The following is an 18465-nucleotide window of genomic DNA, read 5'->3' as shown; positions in this document are numbered from 1 at the left end:
TTGCTGCTCTAGAAAAGCTTTCTAAAAGATCAGAATGCTAATGGAAATGATGAGAGACTTAGAAAGCATAACTGAGAGTAAGGAACTGGATGCTCCCAGAACCCCCGCAACCTCCTCCACTTGGTCAGAAGTCAGCAGTAGCCCAGCAATGGAGAAGAGGAGGTTTGACAACCTGTACACCAGATAATGCACTGAGTTTTTGAGGACTGACTGTCCTTAAGGAGCATAAAACAAAAATTGCAACTAGTAGGCAGGGCAATTTTTGTGTATCTAGTACAGTGGTTCGTAACCAGAGGCGATTTTGTTCCCTGGGGATATTTGGCAAAGTCTGGAGACAGTTTTGCTTCTCATAACTTGGCGAGGGTGAGGGGTGCTGCTGACATCTAGTGGGTAGAGGCCAGGGATGGTGCTGAATGTCCTGTCATGCACAGAACAGTTTCCTCACAACAAAGAATGATTTAGCCCAAAGTGTCAATAGTGCTGAGGTTGAGGAATCCTGGATACCTAAAAGAATGCCTGGTATAGTGTAAGTTCTTGATAGGTACTTTATAAGGAATTTGTTTATATCCATTTCTTTTATATTTTTATTTTTTTCCTCATTATTCCTTCCCATTCCAAGATACATATACGTTTGTGTATCTGTTGTTTTTCCTTGTTCAATGACCATTCATAGTTAAGAGAATATTCGGCCCTGATTTAAAGCTTAAACAATGCAAGACTTAAATTAGGGACTCATTCCTAATCCCTTCCCAAAGGTAGTTTTGGGGAAGAGAAAAAATTTGGCAAGTATAAATGAAGTATTGGGAAAATATATAGGATGGAATTTGAAATCAGATATTTACTTACAGAGTCTGAACTCTTACTCCTCTCCAATTAGCCACTATAGAAAAAATATATATATTCCTTAGGGTTATTTTGTTGTACTGGGGATTTTTCTGCTCAGCGGGTTAGTCCATCTAACAAGGATTAAAGTCCGGGCTCTATACATATATATATATACATACACACACACACACACACACACACACACACATATATACACACACATATATGTATATATATAGTCTATTTGCTGGGGAAAAAGAGGGTTATTTTCAAGAGCTCCTTGGGTAAAAGCAGGTAGCTTTCATTTCATGAACTGTTGCAGGAATAACCTCCCTTAATCATCATGAGATAATGTCTCCAATCCAATTCCAACATGCAATTTTTTGTCTTGGAAAAAAGGACAGCACATAAATGCTGGATGCATCAGGAAGAGGTTTTCCAGAAGGCAATATATATATATATGCATATATATACACACATATACACATACATGTATGCATGTACATAGATATACACACATATATGTGTATGTATGTGTGTTTATGTGTGGGTGTATATACATATATATGTAAAATTAAAATTTTTTCAAATGGAGAGCTTTTGGGGAGGTTACTGTGGGGTAACTCTCTAACTTTCACATGCCTATCTTTCAGCTGATGGGTTAGAATTTCCATAAGTGCTGCCGTCCCCATCTTTAGAAGGTATTACCTTTCAGAATGGGAATTGAGCTCCTTGAAATGCTGATTCAGTTTGGTGAGGAACAGGCAGCAGAGAAAGAGAAATATCCTCCTTGGTGCCTCCCAGGCTGTTAGGTGGGGCTTGATGGATGAGTCAGTACCTCTCACAATTTCTGAGAGATGGTGGGCAGGCATCATGTGCCAATTTAGATAAGCAGAGTACATGAAAAAGGATTTGTAATGCTATCCATTATTGGAATCTTGCTTTTCCTTGCCTATTCACTGGGGAAAAAGAGGGTTATTTTCAAGAGCTCCCTGGGTAAAAGCAGGTAGCTTTCATTTCATGAACTGTTGTAGTAATAACCTCCCTTAATCATCACGAGATAATGTCTCCAATCCAATTCCAACATGCAATTTTTTGTCTTGGAAAAAAGGACAGCACATAAATGCTGGATGCATCAGGAAGAGGTTATTTCAGAAGGCAATTTTTCTGCTGCTAAGGGTCCATTTATCTCTCTCAGCTTTTGGTGGAGTTAACAAGGACTCACAACCTGATAGAGTTTGCCATTAGGGGCCAAACAGATTGGAACTCATGAGGGGAAAAACCACACAAACCAAAATTCAAAAGTCATCATCCTACCTTTCAGTACTTCATGTGTTAGCATTTATAACATTTAACACATATTGCATATTTCCATTGCACCAGGCACTGGCCTATTTCGTCCTTACAGCAACCCCCATGAGCACTGTTGTTAGTTCCAATTGACAGATGAGCAAGCTGGGCACCTAGAAAGGCAACCGGCCCAGAGTCTCACAGGCAGCCTGAGGCAGGATGGAATTTGAAATCAGATCTTTACTTACAGAGTCTGAACTCTTAACTCCTCTCCAATTAGCCACTGTAGAAAGAAAACTTAAAAAAATTGATTCTTAGGAGCTTAGACACAACATTCATTTAGCTCAGCAGTATTAAGGGATTTTTTACTTTCTATGATAATGAAGGAAGTGAAGATTGAAATGATAGCTGGGGCCCACGAGTGTGTAAACGTGTTGACCCATTATATACAAAGGTAATATTTCTGTCCTAATCTTCGTTAGGGTTATTTTTCTGTACTGGGGATTTTTCTGCTCAGTGGGTTAGTCCATCTAACAAGGATTGAAGTCCGGGCTTTATCTTTTTTTTTCCTTTTGGCTGCTTGACTTTGGTTCTGGTAGGAGTTCTTAGAACGGTCTCCTTCAAAGAATCTGGGGTTTCCTAAGCTAATGCCACTTTATAGCAAGACTTTCTTTGCTTCCACACAAGACTGTGTTGTTTAAAGTAATTAAAGCAGTAGGTCTTAAATATAAAGCTGGCTAATGCAATTTGATTGTATTACTGCAGTTTCAATGTAACTACCAATGCTAGGTATGAAATTAAGTTTATGACTGGCTCTTATCTATACTTTGAAGGGACTGATGAATTACTTGCGTTTCAGTAGCCCAAACTCTCTTATTAAAAGCCAGGACTACACCTAAAGAGAGGGTCCAATGGCTATTTCTCTGGGATGGCCTGAGTCAGCAGGTGTTATGCCACTACTGATGTGCCTCTGAGGCCGGTCGATGGAAGTGCTAGGACCAAACCCCCACCCCCAACATTCCCCAAGCTAGATAAAGAAGGATTTTTTTTTTTTTTTAAGAGTCAAGGTATCCCTGTATTGCCCAGGCTTGTCTTTAACTCCTGGGCTCAAGAGATCCTCCCGCCTTGCCTTGGCCTCCCTAAAAGCTGGGATTACAGGTGTGAGCCACCATGTCCAGCTGGATCCAGTTTCTTTTGGGACTCACAGGCTCTCAGAGTGTCTTTGCCTCTGATAAGTATTGAATTCTGCCTAGAGTGGTGAGCAATTCTAGCTTGATTCTCCCCTAGAGATTCTCTTCCCTTTCTTCCCCACTAAATCTTGGGAGAACAGGAAACAGCTGGTGGTTTACCTATATTTTGTGAGTTTTTTTGTGAAAGCCCACTTTCTCAGGGGAAAAAAAGACTTTTTACAGCTCTACCCATGGAAACAGAAAATGAACCCATCTCAAAGCTAATACACTTGGCTTAATCATTTAACCCCTCCAAGCTTTTTTTCTCATTTAGGGAATAATAGTAGTATTCACTAAAGGTTGTCTTAAGGAATTAATTGAGGTAATTGTTCATAAACCCCTACAACAGGGCTTGATGTAGAGGAGTTCCTTAGTAAAGATGAGTTACTGGGCCAGGCGTGGTGGCTTAGGCCTGTAATCCCAGCACTTTGGGAGGCTGAGGCGAGTGGATAACTTGAGATCAGGAGTTCGAGACCAGCCCGGCCAACATGGTGAAACCTTGTCTCTACTAAAAATACAAAAATTAGCTGGGCATGGTGGCACGCACCTATATAATCCCAGTACTCGGGAGGCTGAGTCAGGAGAATCGCTTGAATCTGGGAGGCAGAGGTCGCAGTGAGTTCATGCCACGGCACTCCAGCCTGGGTGACAGAGTGAGACAGTCTCAAAAAAAAAAAAAAAATAGAAAAGGACTTACACTTTTCTCCTTCTTAGTTTGCTTGAGAGAGGAGGACCACCTGTGACAACCCCATTGGAAGACAAAAATCTAGCAGGTCCATTTGGGTGTTTGATCTGCAACTTTAGCAAGCATGGTACTAATATAGATTCAGGGACACACTTGTCCTTGCAAATACTGATCTAAACAGAAAATCTCAACAGTGATCCAGCATGATTGGAAGAGTTGTAATAATATGTATGAGGATGATGTCTATTTAGTAAATGTGAGCAGAAAGAACATCCTAGTCTTTTTTGACAACCTGTCGTTTCCTCTCTCCACACCCCATCCCCAGTCCATTCTCCTTTTGTTCTTTTTAGTGATAGAATGCCCTGAGTTTTATACGACTTCCTGGCTACCTTGCTATGGACTACATTTCCCAGTGTCCTTGGCATTCAGATGGTACCATGTGAGTAAATTCTGGCCAACAGGGTATTAGCAGAATTGACATCTGCAACTGTCAGGTCATGCCATTAAAATTGAACTGCTTGTCCTCCATTTATCTTCCCTTCCTGAAGTGGAATGCAGATGAGGTAGTGAGCTGGCTTTGACTGTATAGCCAAGGGCATCCCTTAGGAGGTAGCAAAGCAACAAGGCAGAAAGAAATAGGGCCTCTAGATAACCTCATGTAACATTGATGCTCTCCTCTGCTTGAATGTCTACCAGTTAGGATTTGATGTATGTGAGAGAAATGAACCTTTCTATCTCATTTAAGGCACTGCTCTTGAGGACCCTTTTAAAGTGACAAAACCCATATGCTGACTATTGTGTAACTTTATGGGGAATGAATTGTAGTGTGACACATTTTATGAGATTTTTCATAATTTTTTTCATTGATTTGCAGAATTACTCATTAGTATCTTGCATTTCAGGTTGTTAACTAGAAAAACAGAAAAATTAATCAGTCTTTGCTCTCAGTGGTTAAAGGATTTATGTGTTTCTAAAAAATGTATCAAATCTGGCATGATATGTGTTGACAGCTGGCTACTACTGAATGGTTAAGGTTTGCAGTGAAAAATGAAAGGTCTTTTTACTTTTTTAAATCATAACTCATCTAAAATAATCTCTCTGGAAATTCAATGGCTATTATTGAGTACATACAGTTGACTTTAGTTATCTTGACTGCAGTGTGTTAGTCATATGTAATAGGCAGATAAATTACTACTGATGGGTCAGAGGTTAAAGATATTTCATCTTTGTAGATAATTTGGCCAATGGTAGTGCCAAACTACATTTTCTTAATAAAGTTGAGGGTCATGTAATATATTAGAAGGTGAGCTTTTTTTTTCTTTTTTTACTTTTTAAAGTTGGGGTTTAATAAATTTCATCAAAATATAACAAACCTTTATTAAGGACCTATTATATGTCAGGCATATTTTCTTCACTAAGCTGAAATAAAATCATTATCTTAAGTGAAATAACTCAGAAACAGACAAATACCACGTGTTCTAACGTATAAGTGGGTATGAAGTAATGTGTATATATGGACATATAGAGTGGAATACTAGCCACTGGAGACTCAGAAGGGTGAGAGGGTGGGAGGGGTATTAGGGATGAGAAATTACCTAATGGATACAATGAATATATTGGCTGATGATTGCACTAAAAGCCCAGACTTCACCACTATTCAGTGTATCCATATAACAAAACTGCACTTGTACCCCCTACATCTACAAAAATTTTTAAAAAGTGCGTATCAAAAAAGATGAAGAATAATTCAGTGCATAGACAGTAGGTGAGAACAAAAACTATCCAATATGGCTGGTGTCCTTAAAAAAAAGGAAGAAGAAGAACTGCCTTAGAACCAGCCATTGTCAAAGGGCATGTGTATAATAAGGAAGATCTAGCCTACTAGTGCAAACTGTCACATGCTAGTGGTAAGCATGCCAGAGAATTAAAGGGCATTTGGCATACAGCAAACACTAAGTTTGCCACAAGTCAGATCTATTGCCTCTAATCCTGAGCATTTAAGAATAGGACAAACAATACAATGCAGCAGTTTTAAGATAACAAGAAGCAGAGAGGCAAGGGAACAATGACATTAAAACAAGCATTAGTTTGCTCTGATGGTTGGGAACAGAGCAGATGTTTAGAAAGCTGACTGATTATATGTGAATAGCTTTTGCATGGGTGAATCTCATCTCCTAATATAACTCTGCAAATATTAATAATTATCTTATGGGCAGATGATAGTATCCTAATTTGAAACTGCCGTGTAGGCATGCAACGTTAGAAGAGAGTGATTTAGTAGAAAAGCAAACCCTCTTAATCAGAACAATATTTTGCAAATTGAGGGTTTCATTTGCCATGAAAAATAAGAAACCAAACTGGTTTTCAGAGAATCAGCCACTATCATGCACAAGTTATTAAACAAATGTCATTTTCAAATGAATGCAAATAAACATATAGTCTCAAGGTTGATGTGATATGAAGGATTGGTTTGTTATGGGCTTCTCAACTGCTCTGGTGGGACAGAAACTAGGTGTGTGTGTTTTTAAATTAGGGCTTGTAGAGGACCTTGTAGTACATGCCAAACATTTAATAGGAGTGAAGTAATTGTAATAATTTGACTTGTACCCAGCTGTCATGAGTTTCCCAAGTGACCATCAACTACTGTTGTGGCCAGGACATGGCAAGTTAACTGAAGATATACTTATCCATGATTCTGGTAAGCCTCTTTTCTTTTCCTAAAAATAAATTGTAGAGAAAAACATTTCTATGAATAAACTACTTGTAATTATATAATGAAATGGCAAAAAGTATTCAATGATGTAGATAGTGACTCTTTCCTTTCAGAAATAATTCCTGGCTTTGTGCCTTGGTAACCCTTAACATTTATCCCTGACTATATTATACAGCAGTCACTATATTTTCTATTTTTTATCTACTTCATTTTTGCTTTGTTTCTTGATGTTAACTGTTCATATTTGATACCAAGGAACAGGACTCTATTGTTTGAAGATCAACAAATATAAATTCCAATCCTAATAAAACATAGAATAACCAACAAGAATCAGATAACCTTGGGTGGTCTAAATGGACGAAGTGACATTTGCCTTATGGCAGACAAAAGATGCATCGCAAGGGGGTGGGTGTGGAAGTTTTTTGAGCTGGTAAAATTAGTCACGGGAAACTCTCCTGCAGAATGCAGAAGTCTAGGCCTGGTGGCAGGCAGCACAGATCCTTTCTCTATTACAATGAGTCGCTGCTCTTGAACATTCATCCTTTATGACCAAGGCTTGGAGAACGGGTCACTGAAACTAATTCACCTCCCACTTTCTGGATTGTTCAGTTGCTCCTTTGTTTTGTCTTTACTCATGTCAGCACAGCCAAAGATTTATGACAACTCTGCTAATGGTGTCATATTTGTATTTCAAGGCACTGAATACCATTTGAAGTGAGATAATAAATGTAAATGCATTTTGAAAAGTTAAGGGATTTAAAGAGAGAAAAACAAATTTTTTTTTTTTTTGGGTGGGAGTTTATATGGAATCTTCTCTGTAAGACTCAAAGACTTACATATGGCAAGTTCTCAATAATGTTCATGGAATGAATCAAGAATAAGCAGTGTGAGGTCTGGTGGGAAGGGTCTGGAGTCAGAAAGACCTATGTGTGACTCCTGGCATGACTGTTGCCAGATTTATAGCTTTCTATGATTTAGTGTCCTTATGTACAAAATGAGGCTAATTAGACTTCCCTCAGAGAATTGTCATTCTCAGAATAGTGCTCCATAAAGAGTAGCTGTTGTTAAATAAATTGAAGTGGAGTGGAGGGAGGACCCTCAGAGTTTATTGCAATCTACTTTTCAGCTTATCATGGTGGGGGCCAGTAACCATTTAATCTTTATTTCTACTAACATATAGATGAGATTGGCAGGTATGAGCAAGAATGAATGCTGAAAGGTCGGGATAAGGAAATAAAAGGGCATATGGAGGAAGGGAACATGGAGAGAAAGTAAACAAAGTGCTGGTGAGATGTTAAAACATGCCATTGATAATTGTTTAAAAAACCAGGGCACTACTACCATTTAACTTTGCCCTTGACTCAAAATAGCTGGATGTTTATTCTTTTCTTATTTTTAAAAGAGTTTCAAGGCTTTCCTTTTCAGTTCATTAATGTTCAAGTCATTATCTAGGCTTCTTTAGCTGGTCCTCTTAGAAAGGTAGTATTTTTAAGTACTAACATTCATCTATACGTCATCTATTTTACTCATTCATTCACTTATTAAGCTATGTATTCACAGGTATTCCTACTATGTGCTAGGCGTTGTACTAGGGGCTTGTATGTGTGTGTTTCGGAGGGTTGGAGTGGGTAGACTTCTTCCCTTTTTTGCTTTTAAGTTTGGTTTACTTGGCTTTTTTTTGTTAAAAGTGAAGCTCCTGAATTAAAAATAATCAGACTATCTGGGAAATTGAAAACAACAACAGATGAACTATTACAAATCTGGTAAACCAATTAGTCAAATATGGAGAGTGAAAAACATGCTTGGAACGATTTTGACTCATGTAATTACCTTAGAATAATTTCTTGAGTGTCTCTAGGCAACAGCAAATTTAATAAGAAACAAATGGTAGAGTTTTTTTTCGCCTCTTTTTTTTTCTTATGTTGTCATAAAAGAGCAGCTTGTCTATCTCTCTGCTATGTGGTATTAGATACGGGTTAGGGTAGGAAGGCAGAAACATCTAGAATGTAGTATTTTTCACGTAGCATATCTCACCCGTGTTTGAGGAAACATTAGTTTCATTAAGGTACAATTGACCTGCACAGGTAGTTAAAAGCATTAAGTAGGGGTTAAACTTGGATGGAAATAATAATAAGATAAACTTTGATAAATGATAACCAGTAACAAAAAAATTTAACTTTTATATTTCTACATCAATGTTTTGGGTTCTCTTTTGAATTGAATTTTGCCTGCTCTCTTTTTAGTTAATTGAGTAAATTATTGCTTTACATGATATTGAGCAGAATGCATTTTCCTGGGTTTCAGCTCCTTTTGTGGAGGAATTTTCCTTAAGTTATGTGGGATGTGGCTATAGCTGCTGTACCAGCCCACTTGGCTTTTCTCATGACACGTAGTCACACAGACATCCAAGGCTTCACATACACCTTTGCCCATTTGTATCATCTGTGGAAGGCGGTTTCTAACTATTTGGGGGACAAATGAAAGTTCATTAAAAGAAGGCAGAAGGTCAGAAGGGCACTTTGGAGTATTAAAAAAAAAATCCGTGCTAGAGAACATTTAATCATAAGTAGCTTATCCTTCCCAAAGGGAATGCAGTGTATTTGCATCATTCTCCTCGGCAGTTGACCTTTTACATTTCATGCTTATGACATTTCTGTCAGGCGCTCTGTGTGCTCCAATTAAAGTCAGAGGTCTTTGGACACAGTTCAAGAAGTAGAGTGTCTGGCCGGGAGCTTGGCACAGGGCAGTTTGGCTAAGGGAGGTCATGGACAACTGCAGGGCAGCTGGATAGGAAAGAAGAACCCAGGATGTGAACAAGTTGCTGGGGGCATACCTCCTATGGAGACTTACTGGGGGTGTCATTTTGGGTGTGGGCTATTGGATAGAGGAGAGCAAGGAAAGTGTTAGGACAAGATTTCTAAACCAGGTATAAATTTGTGCACATGGATATTTGGACTGAAAAATCAGTGCACCTGTGCCTACAATCAGGCAGTAAATGGTTCAGTGGTCGCAGTAAGCGCAGGGCTCTTTTGGGAGGCAAATTGAAACTCTATTTAAGCAAAGTGATTCAGAAGGAGACGTTCAATATAGGCTTCCCCTGGGAACATTTCCTCCTAAGGTATTAATCAGGGCACAAGGCAAAATACTCCACAATATTGTTTGAAAGCTAAGAATGTAACTCAGAGACAGAAACCATGGAAACCCACTTATTTTCTGAAATGTTGCCTCTCTTTGGAGGAGACAACGACAGGATGAATAAGCAGATATGCTTTACTTAAAGGTTATGTGTGAGTCAGGGTACCCTCTGAATGTCTTTAATATGTTAAATATTCAGGTAAATGTCTACATAAAGTGGTACACATAAAAGTGAAATTGTAGCATAGATTGGAAACTTAAAAATGCTATAAAAGTATAGAGTTTACAGCATTTAACATTTGTAAAAAATTTCTACAGGCTCTGAGGTGCAATTTTATTTTTATGATTAGGACTTTTAATTAGGTTTTAAATCCTGGCTCTTTACGTTTTGCTGTATGACTTAGGGTGAGTTAGCCTCTGTAAGTGTCAATTTTTCTCATCTGTTAAATGTTACCTACCTAATAGGGTAGTTGTGAGAACTCAATGAAATAATGTACATGAAATGTTTAGCACAATGCCTGGTCCACAGCAAATGTTCCACAAAAATTAACCTCTATGGTAGCATTCTAGACTTTAAGCCATAAAAAAAATCATAGATTATTTCCAAATGGAAAGAATCCTCATTGGTTGGTATTCTCAGTTTACTCCAAGAAAAACACTCTTTGTACTAGCATAAAGAAAGGAGAGAACTTGGCCAAAAAATAAAAATACCTGGATAAAGATCCGTGCAGTGTTGTTCTTCTAATTTCACCTTTTAGTAAGGACTAGTATTTAATATTTTTTGTACACCTCCATGTGTCAGGCACTCTGTATTCACAGCAGTCCTGTGAAGTGGCTATAACTGTCTCACATTACAGGCAAGGAAACTGAGGCTCAAAGAAATGAAAGAACATGGCCAAGCCTGTGTACTATGTCAGCAGAAGAGGGATTTGAATGCCAGAGGCAACGCTATTTCAGTTCATCTTACAACGCCTTAGAAGTAGAAGGAAAGAAAGGTTCATGGGCAAAGTCTGGCCCTGCTATGGACTCCACGGTAATAGCAATATTTCTACTTTGATGTTCCCATTAAAATCTTATCCTCTAGCTGAGGGGGCCTGGCAGAGTGGCAAATGTCACCCTCGAGCAGGCACGTAAGTCAAGTGATAAATCACATTCAGAGTTTGAGTTACTTTCCCTGCTTAGGGATTGTGAGTGGGTCTCCCTAGTTCAAATTCATCAGTTGGCTCCATTGCTACTCAGTGCTAACAGGAAATTGTACTGATTTAGCTGGTAATAAGAGCTTCTCAAGCACTGTGGGTACTTGTTTAGGAGAAAGATTGAATTTAAAAACATGCACCTGATTTGTTTTTTTGTTTTTTTGTTTTTGTTTTTTTTAGCAGCTTTACAAACATCTGAGAAGAAAACGTTCCATTATCAGGTAAAGCTGCTTTGGCAATGTGATTTTTATAATGCTGGGCAGTAGGGGAGGTTGCTTAATACAGACAAGGCATAGATATTTTTTCTCTGTGTGTTGCTTTGGAACATTCTGTTGCTGTTATATTTTTAACCAGATAAACCTGCCTCTATAGGTCACAAGAAAACAAATTCTTTACTATTTTTTTTTGCAAATACATCTTTTTAGGATCATTCCTTAAACAAAGCAGTTTGCTGATTATTAGAGATACTTGTCTGTGTTAGGTGTTTTACTATTTCTAGAGCATTTGCATTTACAGCTCTCTTCATTTTTCAGCTGGAGAGCACTGAACCTGGCTTGCTTTGAGATCTAAGTCTACCCTTTACTGACTCTGTGGCCTTAATTAAGTCACTTTCTTTCTCTGCGCCTATTTCCTCATCTGTGAAATGGAGGTGTTGGCACTTTCTTTCTAGGATTGTTGTTTTCGATGACTTAATGTAAGTTCAAGTGCTTTGTAAATTATACAAGTTCCTTTAAAAATGAACCATTACTATTATTATTACTTATATTTAAGGACTAAACTCATTTGGTATTCACAAAGGAGTATTGATGGATTTAGCATCATGAAGATCTAAAAGTTGTAGTGAGATGCGAGAAATTGGGTAATGAACAAACATGGAATCAGTAATTTACCAAAGAGAATAGGGGGACATAGAAGGAGACCCTAAGTGTGGTTGGAGATTTTGGAGAAAGGAGAGCAAAGGGACAGAACACACTTCAAAGATTTTCTATAAGAGAGAATACCTTTTCAGTCCACAGAGGCTGCTGTGTGCCATCATTTCACAGGCACTGTGGAGTAGTCAAATGAGTCAGTCCCTGACCTCCCACTTCCTAGTTGTGTGAATTCCTTAACTTCTCTGAAAGAAGTGAAGGTAATAATACCTACCCTCACCGGGTTATGAAGATTAAATGGGACAATATATGTAAAGTGCCTGCTGTATACTATGGCTTATTAAATCTATCTCTCTCTTCCTCTCCCTCCTCCTTCTCCTTTTTAATTTTTGGTTAGGAAGGAGCTCTAACTAGACCAGCCACTGTCAATACTTCTGGGAGCTCGTGTGCTTCTCAGAGCATTCAGGCAAGGCCTAAAAGCAATCAGTAGAGTCCTGGTTAATACTCGGATTACTCAGAATGCTGCCCAAGCCTGTTAATGGAGTTTGAGTATATGTAGCCACTTCAATTATCATCAGATGCAGAGAAAGTTGTAGGTGTTCAGTGTGTGGAAAGACTCTAAAAGGAGGTTTTGAGGGGAAGCAAGTAGGTGTCTGTGCAGTGGGAAAGGTTTACGGGGATTAAATTCAGGACTCCTTCAGAGATAAGGGTTCTGTGTTGAGGAATAAAGAAAGTAATCACCCACTTATGCCGGGATCTTGGTGAGAATGTCTTGCTAAGGGATGCCTTGATAAGAATTGAGTTTTCCAAACTATAGAGTTGATTTATTGGGTTATTTTTAAAGTATTTATTATCCACTATTTAGAAGCACTTCAAATCTTTGAGTAAATAACTGAGGGGTTTATAAATGCAAACATTTCAATTATATAACCTTTTAAGAATTGTTAATTTCAAAAACATCTAGATAAGGATGAACAGTCAGTTATTTTAGCTATTCAATATACAAGTGCATGTAATTAATCAAGTAAAATGGAAATCATTTGAAGAGAGGAAGACTTTCTTCATGTTGTCAGTCTTAAGCCTAATGAGATCTGTTTGTATAGTGCAGTGAGTATGGACAAAATGCGGTCGTAGCACAGATACCAAATACTTTTGTGTTTCAGATCTTTTCTACAGTCCTCACTAAAGGCAATACATTATAGCGAATGAGGTTTTGAAAGTCGTCTATATTCAAAGATGGGTAGACTTTAATTTGTTGTCGTGATTATAACACAAGAAATTCCATCTTTTAAATATTTTCCCTTTGTAGGTTAGAAAATGATTCTGGCCTTTCCCGTATCTGTTTCTTTTGTGCTTTTTTGCATGTGATAATACTAATAATCCCATCTTACATTTGAGCTTTCCAGTTTTTTCTTGTCCATCACCTTATTTCAAGCCAAGATAATTTTAGAACATTACTTCTTACACCAGCAGTTGCCTGACTGTACTGATCTCACAAAATAAGCAGGAAAGGATGTTGAGAAATGAAGTGAACGCCTGTGACCAAATCATCAAAGAACTAGAAGAGGGAAACTGTGAGTAGAGTATTCCTATAGAACCTTCTTTCCAATATCATGGTTGTGACTGGGGAGGGTGCCTGAGAGAAATATGATGGAAGGACCGGGTAAACACACCTGTAGACTTGTCACCTGTCCTAAGGTGAGAGTAGGGGCTGGGGCTGTGAAGAAGGACTTTTGTTTGTGTACCTACCATGTGCTAGGTAGGTGCTGGTAGTTTAGTGCATGTATTTTTTAAAAGTTAGGCATTGTTACTACCATTCTGCAGGAAATAGGCTCAGAGAGGTATGAGTAAGTCATCAATATGCACTTAAAAATAAATCTAGTGTTGCTATACTCAGGTGATACTTATAGTAAAATTTCTACTGTGGCCTTTTGGTGTGTTTCCCTAGTCTTTTTTAGAAATTCATATGGAAGGCTGACCGCGGTGGCTGACACCTGTAATCCCTTTTTTAGAAATTCATATGGAAGGCTGACCATGGTGGCTCACACCTGTACATCGGGAGGCCGAGGCAGGTGCATCACTTTGAGCTCAGGAGTTCTAGACCAGCCAGGGCAACATGGTGAAACCCTGTCTCTACAAAAATACAAAAATTAGCCAAGCATTGGTTGTGGGTGCCCATCATCCTAGCTACTCAGGAGGCTGAGGCTGGAGAATTGCTTGAGCCCTGGGAGTGGAAGTTGCCGTGAGCCGAGATCATGTCACTGCACTCCAGCCTGGGTGACAGTGTGAAAGCGTGCCTTAAAAAAAAAAAAAAGAAATTCAAATGGAAGATTTGATTATGCCCCTGAAAGTGAGAATGGCATGTCTATGCACAACATGGGATAAAGTCAAAATAAAGGTAGTTGTGGAGTATCTCAGTGAGGGCCATACCTGAGGATACTTTGTTCTAGAACCTGGATCTGGTGCTGGTCTTGTTGATTTTGCTTCTTCATCTCTTCCTGTTCTTTTCCGCTGCTGATTCCATCTAGAAGCCATTTCTCCCTCAAGGCCTTTTTCTGATGTCAGGAAACATAAAGATATGTTCTTATATTGGTCAATAATTTCCAAAATCTCTTACTGCTTTCAAATCTTATGAATTTCAATAGGTGACACGTTAAAGAGGAATTATTTTCTGTCAGTGCCTTGCCTGAATAAATCTGGTATTTTCTTTCATTGTAACCTTCTTGACTGTATTCAAAGCCAGGTTTTATGCATCTAAATCCCATTTATACTTCAAGGTTTAGTTTGGGTCTCTCCTTTGGCATGAAGATCCCTGGCCCCCATACTCCTGGCAGCCCCATCCTGACCCTCACTTTCTGTCTTCAGAACCATGCCATACTGTGTGTTTATCACAGTCATAATGGGACCTCATAATATGATGTCTTTAGTGTCATCTGTTATTGATGGGTATATATCTTGTGTCCTAAACAAAGTCAAAAGCTTCTTGAAGCTATTTTGATATTCCCCCTGGTGAGAGCATGCAATGACTGCTTTAAAAAAATCTTTAGTGGGATTAATTGGAATGGTGGGCAAAACAGAAGGTTGCTGTTGTAACTTAAACATATTCAGTGTTATTCTTAGGCTGTGTGGCAGCTGTTTATTGTTTTGCCTACTTAGCTCCCCTTCTTTCTTCTCAGAATCTCCCTGGTTATAGACATTCTTAAGCGCAAAATTTACTGATCTGTCTAAATGTTGGTGAGTTTTTGTCAACTTTAACAACACACAAAAAATTACATTTCACCAGATGGAAAAAACAAAAACTCCTCTTGAATTTGCATGAGGAAATTAAACGCCTGGACCTGGAGTTTAAAGACCTAAGAAGACTTAAAACAAATGAAAAAGACCTGTAAATTTTGGATGGGCTTTAATTAGCATGTAGTCTACATCTCAAGTGGGAAGCATCAGATGTATGGTCATGTTATTTTCAAGGAGCTCAAGTTTCTCTTTTTCTCCTGGAATAAAAGGGCTCTCATTATGTATCCAATCTGCCCTATCAATTATTTGTTCAGTTATTCATTGTTAATTATTCATTGGGGATTCACTATATTTAAAATCTGTGAGGAGAGAATGGGAACTTTATTTTCTGGGACTTCTTTCTCTTATATTGAAATTTAAATGAGAGTAAGTAAGAATAACTTTGTGTGTTTGTGTGTGGGTGTGTTTTTTTAAGGATGCTAGAATAAATACCACTGAGATACAAGTATCTCTGAATTAAGAAAACATTTAAAATTAAGTTTAGTTGTGATAGATAATTGCCAAAGGATGATTATTTTTTACTGATACCACTGAGATACAAGTATCTCTGAATTAAGAAAACATTTAAAATTAAGTTTAGTTGTGATAGATAATTACCAAAGGATGATTATTTTTTACTGAGGCAATGACTTTTAAATCTTTTTTTCTTAAAAAAAAAACCAATATAACATTATAACTTACAACATTACAAACAAATGTTATATGGAACTATAGTTTGGAAAACAGATGAATTCTGGACTGCTCTAATTGAAGAAGTGAAGGGGCCTGAAAGCTTATGGATACACAGAACATGGTTTGAAAACCACTAGATTTAGTAAATAACAGCTTCACCCCAGATCATCACATTTGTACTGGCCTTTTCAGAATCTTAAGCAACTGCATGTGGACGATATACATCACAAGAGCAATTTGTATTACTCCATTCTGTGGCCAGAGATTCTTTACCCCAGTGTTATCTTAACCATTTATTATAGCTGTTTAGCTGTTTGCAAAAATGTTTTCCTGCAGACCCAGTAAATATGATTAACATTGGTCAAGATTCAGCTCCTGGGGTCAAAGATGCTAAGAAACTCTGAATATAGCAGCATTTTAATAATTTACTTTGATTCTAATTTATTTTTATCTAATGGAATTTTAGCTAATGCATAGGAAAGAAGACAGTAACACCTATAGAAGTAAGTTTTACTCCTTACAAACCACCTATAAGGAAAGTTCCAGCCAATGACACACATAGCTATATAAGAAACACTCAGATGGGGTGGTCTTATGAGGCTGAATTATAGAGAGTAGCGAATCATTCTTGTGATGTGATTAGGTTAACTTGGGGCTATATTCTTGGTTTTTAGTCTAGTTAGAAATAATTTTAATTTTAGTCTTGTAAAACTTTGTTCATACTTCATAAATTTTCATTTATGCCTCGTGGAGAACTCTTTGAACTTAAATATAAAATATGCAATTTGGATGTGCAATCAAAATGATATATGATGCAATCACATATATACTGTAGTAATCAAAAGAGTTATTTTGCTTTTATGTCACAGTTTAGACTTGTGCTTTAGTGGATGAGGCTAATGAGTATAATAAAATCTACTTTACAATGAAATTCAGAATTGAAAGCCATATGAACTAAATGAAAATATGTGACATGCAGGTGATAGGTCTTTCTGCAGTTTTTTTAGGAAAAGGTTTTCCTGAGCACTTCTATATCTACCCAGAAGTTACAGTAGAGTAGGAATAAATTGGTTTTTTGTAGATTGAATTGAACGGACTCATGGAAATCAAAAATTTTTCAGATTGACTGTATTTTGTGTTTCCTGGTAACATGAGATTGTGATCATATTACTAGGCAAGAAGATCCATACAGAAAAAAAATCTCTGTATGAGTAGTTTGAATATTAAGATGTAAAAAATGTCCCAGAAATTCCCTTGCTAGCACATTATGAGAATGATCATCAGGTTCAGGAGCTAAAGAATATCAGAGGGAGTTACTACAACTATTTTGAAATGTGTGTATTCTGATGTAGGAGGAACACTTTGTAAATGTTTATGCTTATGTTGTTTAATGTGTGTCACTGAAGTATAGTGAACTAGTTTGCAATCAGGAAAGTGGAGAGGATAGTCATGAAGACTAGGACGAATGGATGAAGAAAATAAGAGACAGGCTATAGAGGCCAACAGAGCTTTTTAATTTGGTGAAGACATTGTAGAATTATTTTAAAAAATACTTTTGCACATTTTGAACCCCATTTTGGAATTATGCCTTGTTGCTGTTTGGTATAGACAACTATTTTTTGCAAAACTTGGAAGAATGTGCTCTACTGAAATAGCCACTCTTTCTTCTCTGTGCCCTGTGCAGTTTATGCCTCCCATACAGTGTTTATCACAGAATAACTGTTATTATGAGTTTATGTATCAGTTACCATCTTAAGGACGCAGGCCAAATTTCACTTGTTTTATATTCTTAGTGTCTAGCTTCATAGCTTGTACATAATATGTACTTAATAAATATTTATTGACTAAAGGCCCTATATACATCCATATAAATTCTACTTACCAGTTAAGACTCAGCTTGAATCCCATACCTTTAATAGTGCCTTCTTGACCATCCCAGATTAAAGAATAATTATACTGTAGTTTAAATTAAAACAACTATCATTTATCTTGTTTATTTAATCTTGAATTTCCCAAATTAGGACAATGTGTCATTTCCCCCAACTCCTAGCCCTGCTCCATGCCACACACACCCCTTTTTTCCAGTGAACAGCTTGGGAAAGTGGATAGCACTTTTGTGCAGAGAAAATTGAAACCTTTTGCTCCAGGTATAAGCATCCCTGAACCAGAGTGCACGACTGGCAAAGGAATGTGGACAAGATTTTAGCACCATCATTTCAGGTACCTTTGTGCAGTACACAATCTGCACAACTGTATATGGCAGTCCAAAACATGATAAATGTTTTGATTGGATTGGATCAGGAGAGGTCTCCTGTGTTCTGGAGAGCAAACCAATAAGGAAGATCATCTACTACTTTCCAGACTGTTTTTGGCAAGTGCTGGAATGAGGTGCTACTTCAGAAATGGACCTTTCAGTGAGTCAGGCTTCTCATGCGAAACTTACTTCTAGAACGAACTAAGGGGATATTTAAATCTTCTCTTCTACTGTGAGCTCCACTGTTTTGTGGCTACCCATTCTGCAAGGATAACAATTGCCCATTCTCAAGGATAGCTAGAG

At 37.8% G+C, this 18465-nt stretch overlaps 1 protein-coding gene across 1 annotated transcript in view; it reads right to left on the bottom strand.

Moving 5' to 3' along the window:
• Window positions 1-18465, bottom strand: part of PALMD (palmdelphin) — a 48423-nt gene that overhangs the window by 12397 nt on the left and 17561 nt on the right. Inside the window, exon 3 of the mRNA NM_017734.5 lies at window positions 14373-14497. Within this exon, the coding sequence (NP_060204.1) occupies window positions 14373-14497 (125 nt within the window). The remainder of the gene's footprint in view (window positions 1-14372; window positions 14498-18465) is intronic.

Source organism: Homo sapiens, chromosome 1 (genome assembly GCF_000001405.40).
Source record: "Homo sapiens chromosome 1, GRCh38.p14 Primary Assembly".
NCBI lineage: Eukaryota > Metazoa > Chordata > Mammalia > Primates > Hominidae > Homo > Homo sapiens.
This window is presented reverse-complemented; position numbering and strand designations above follow the sequence as displayed.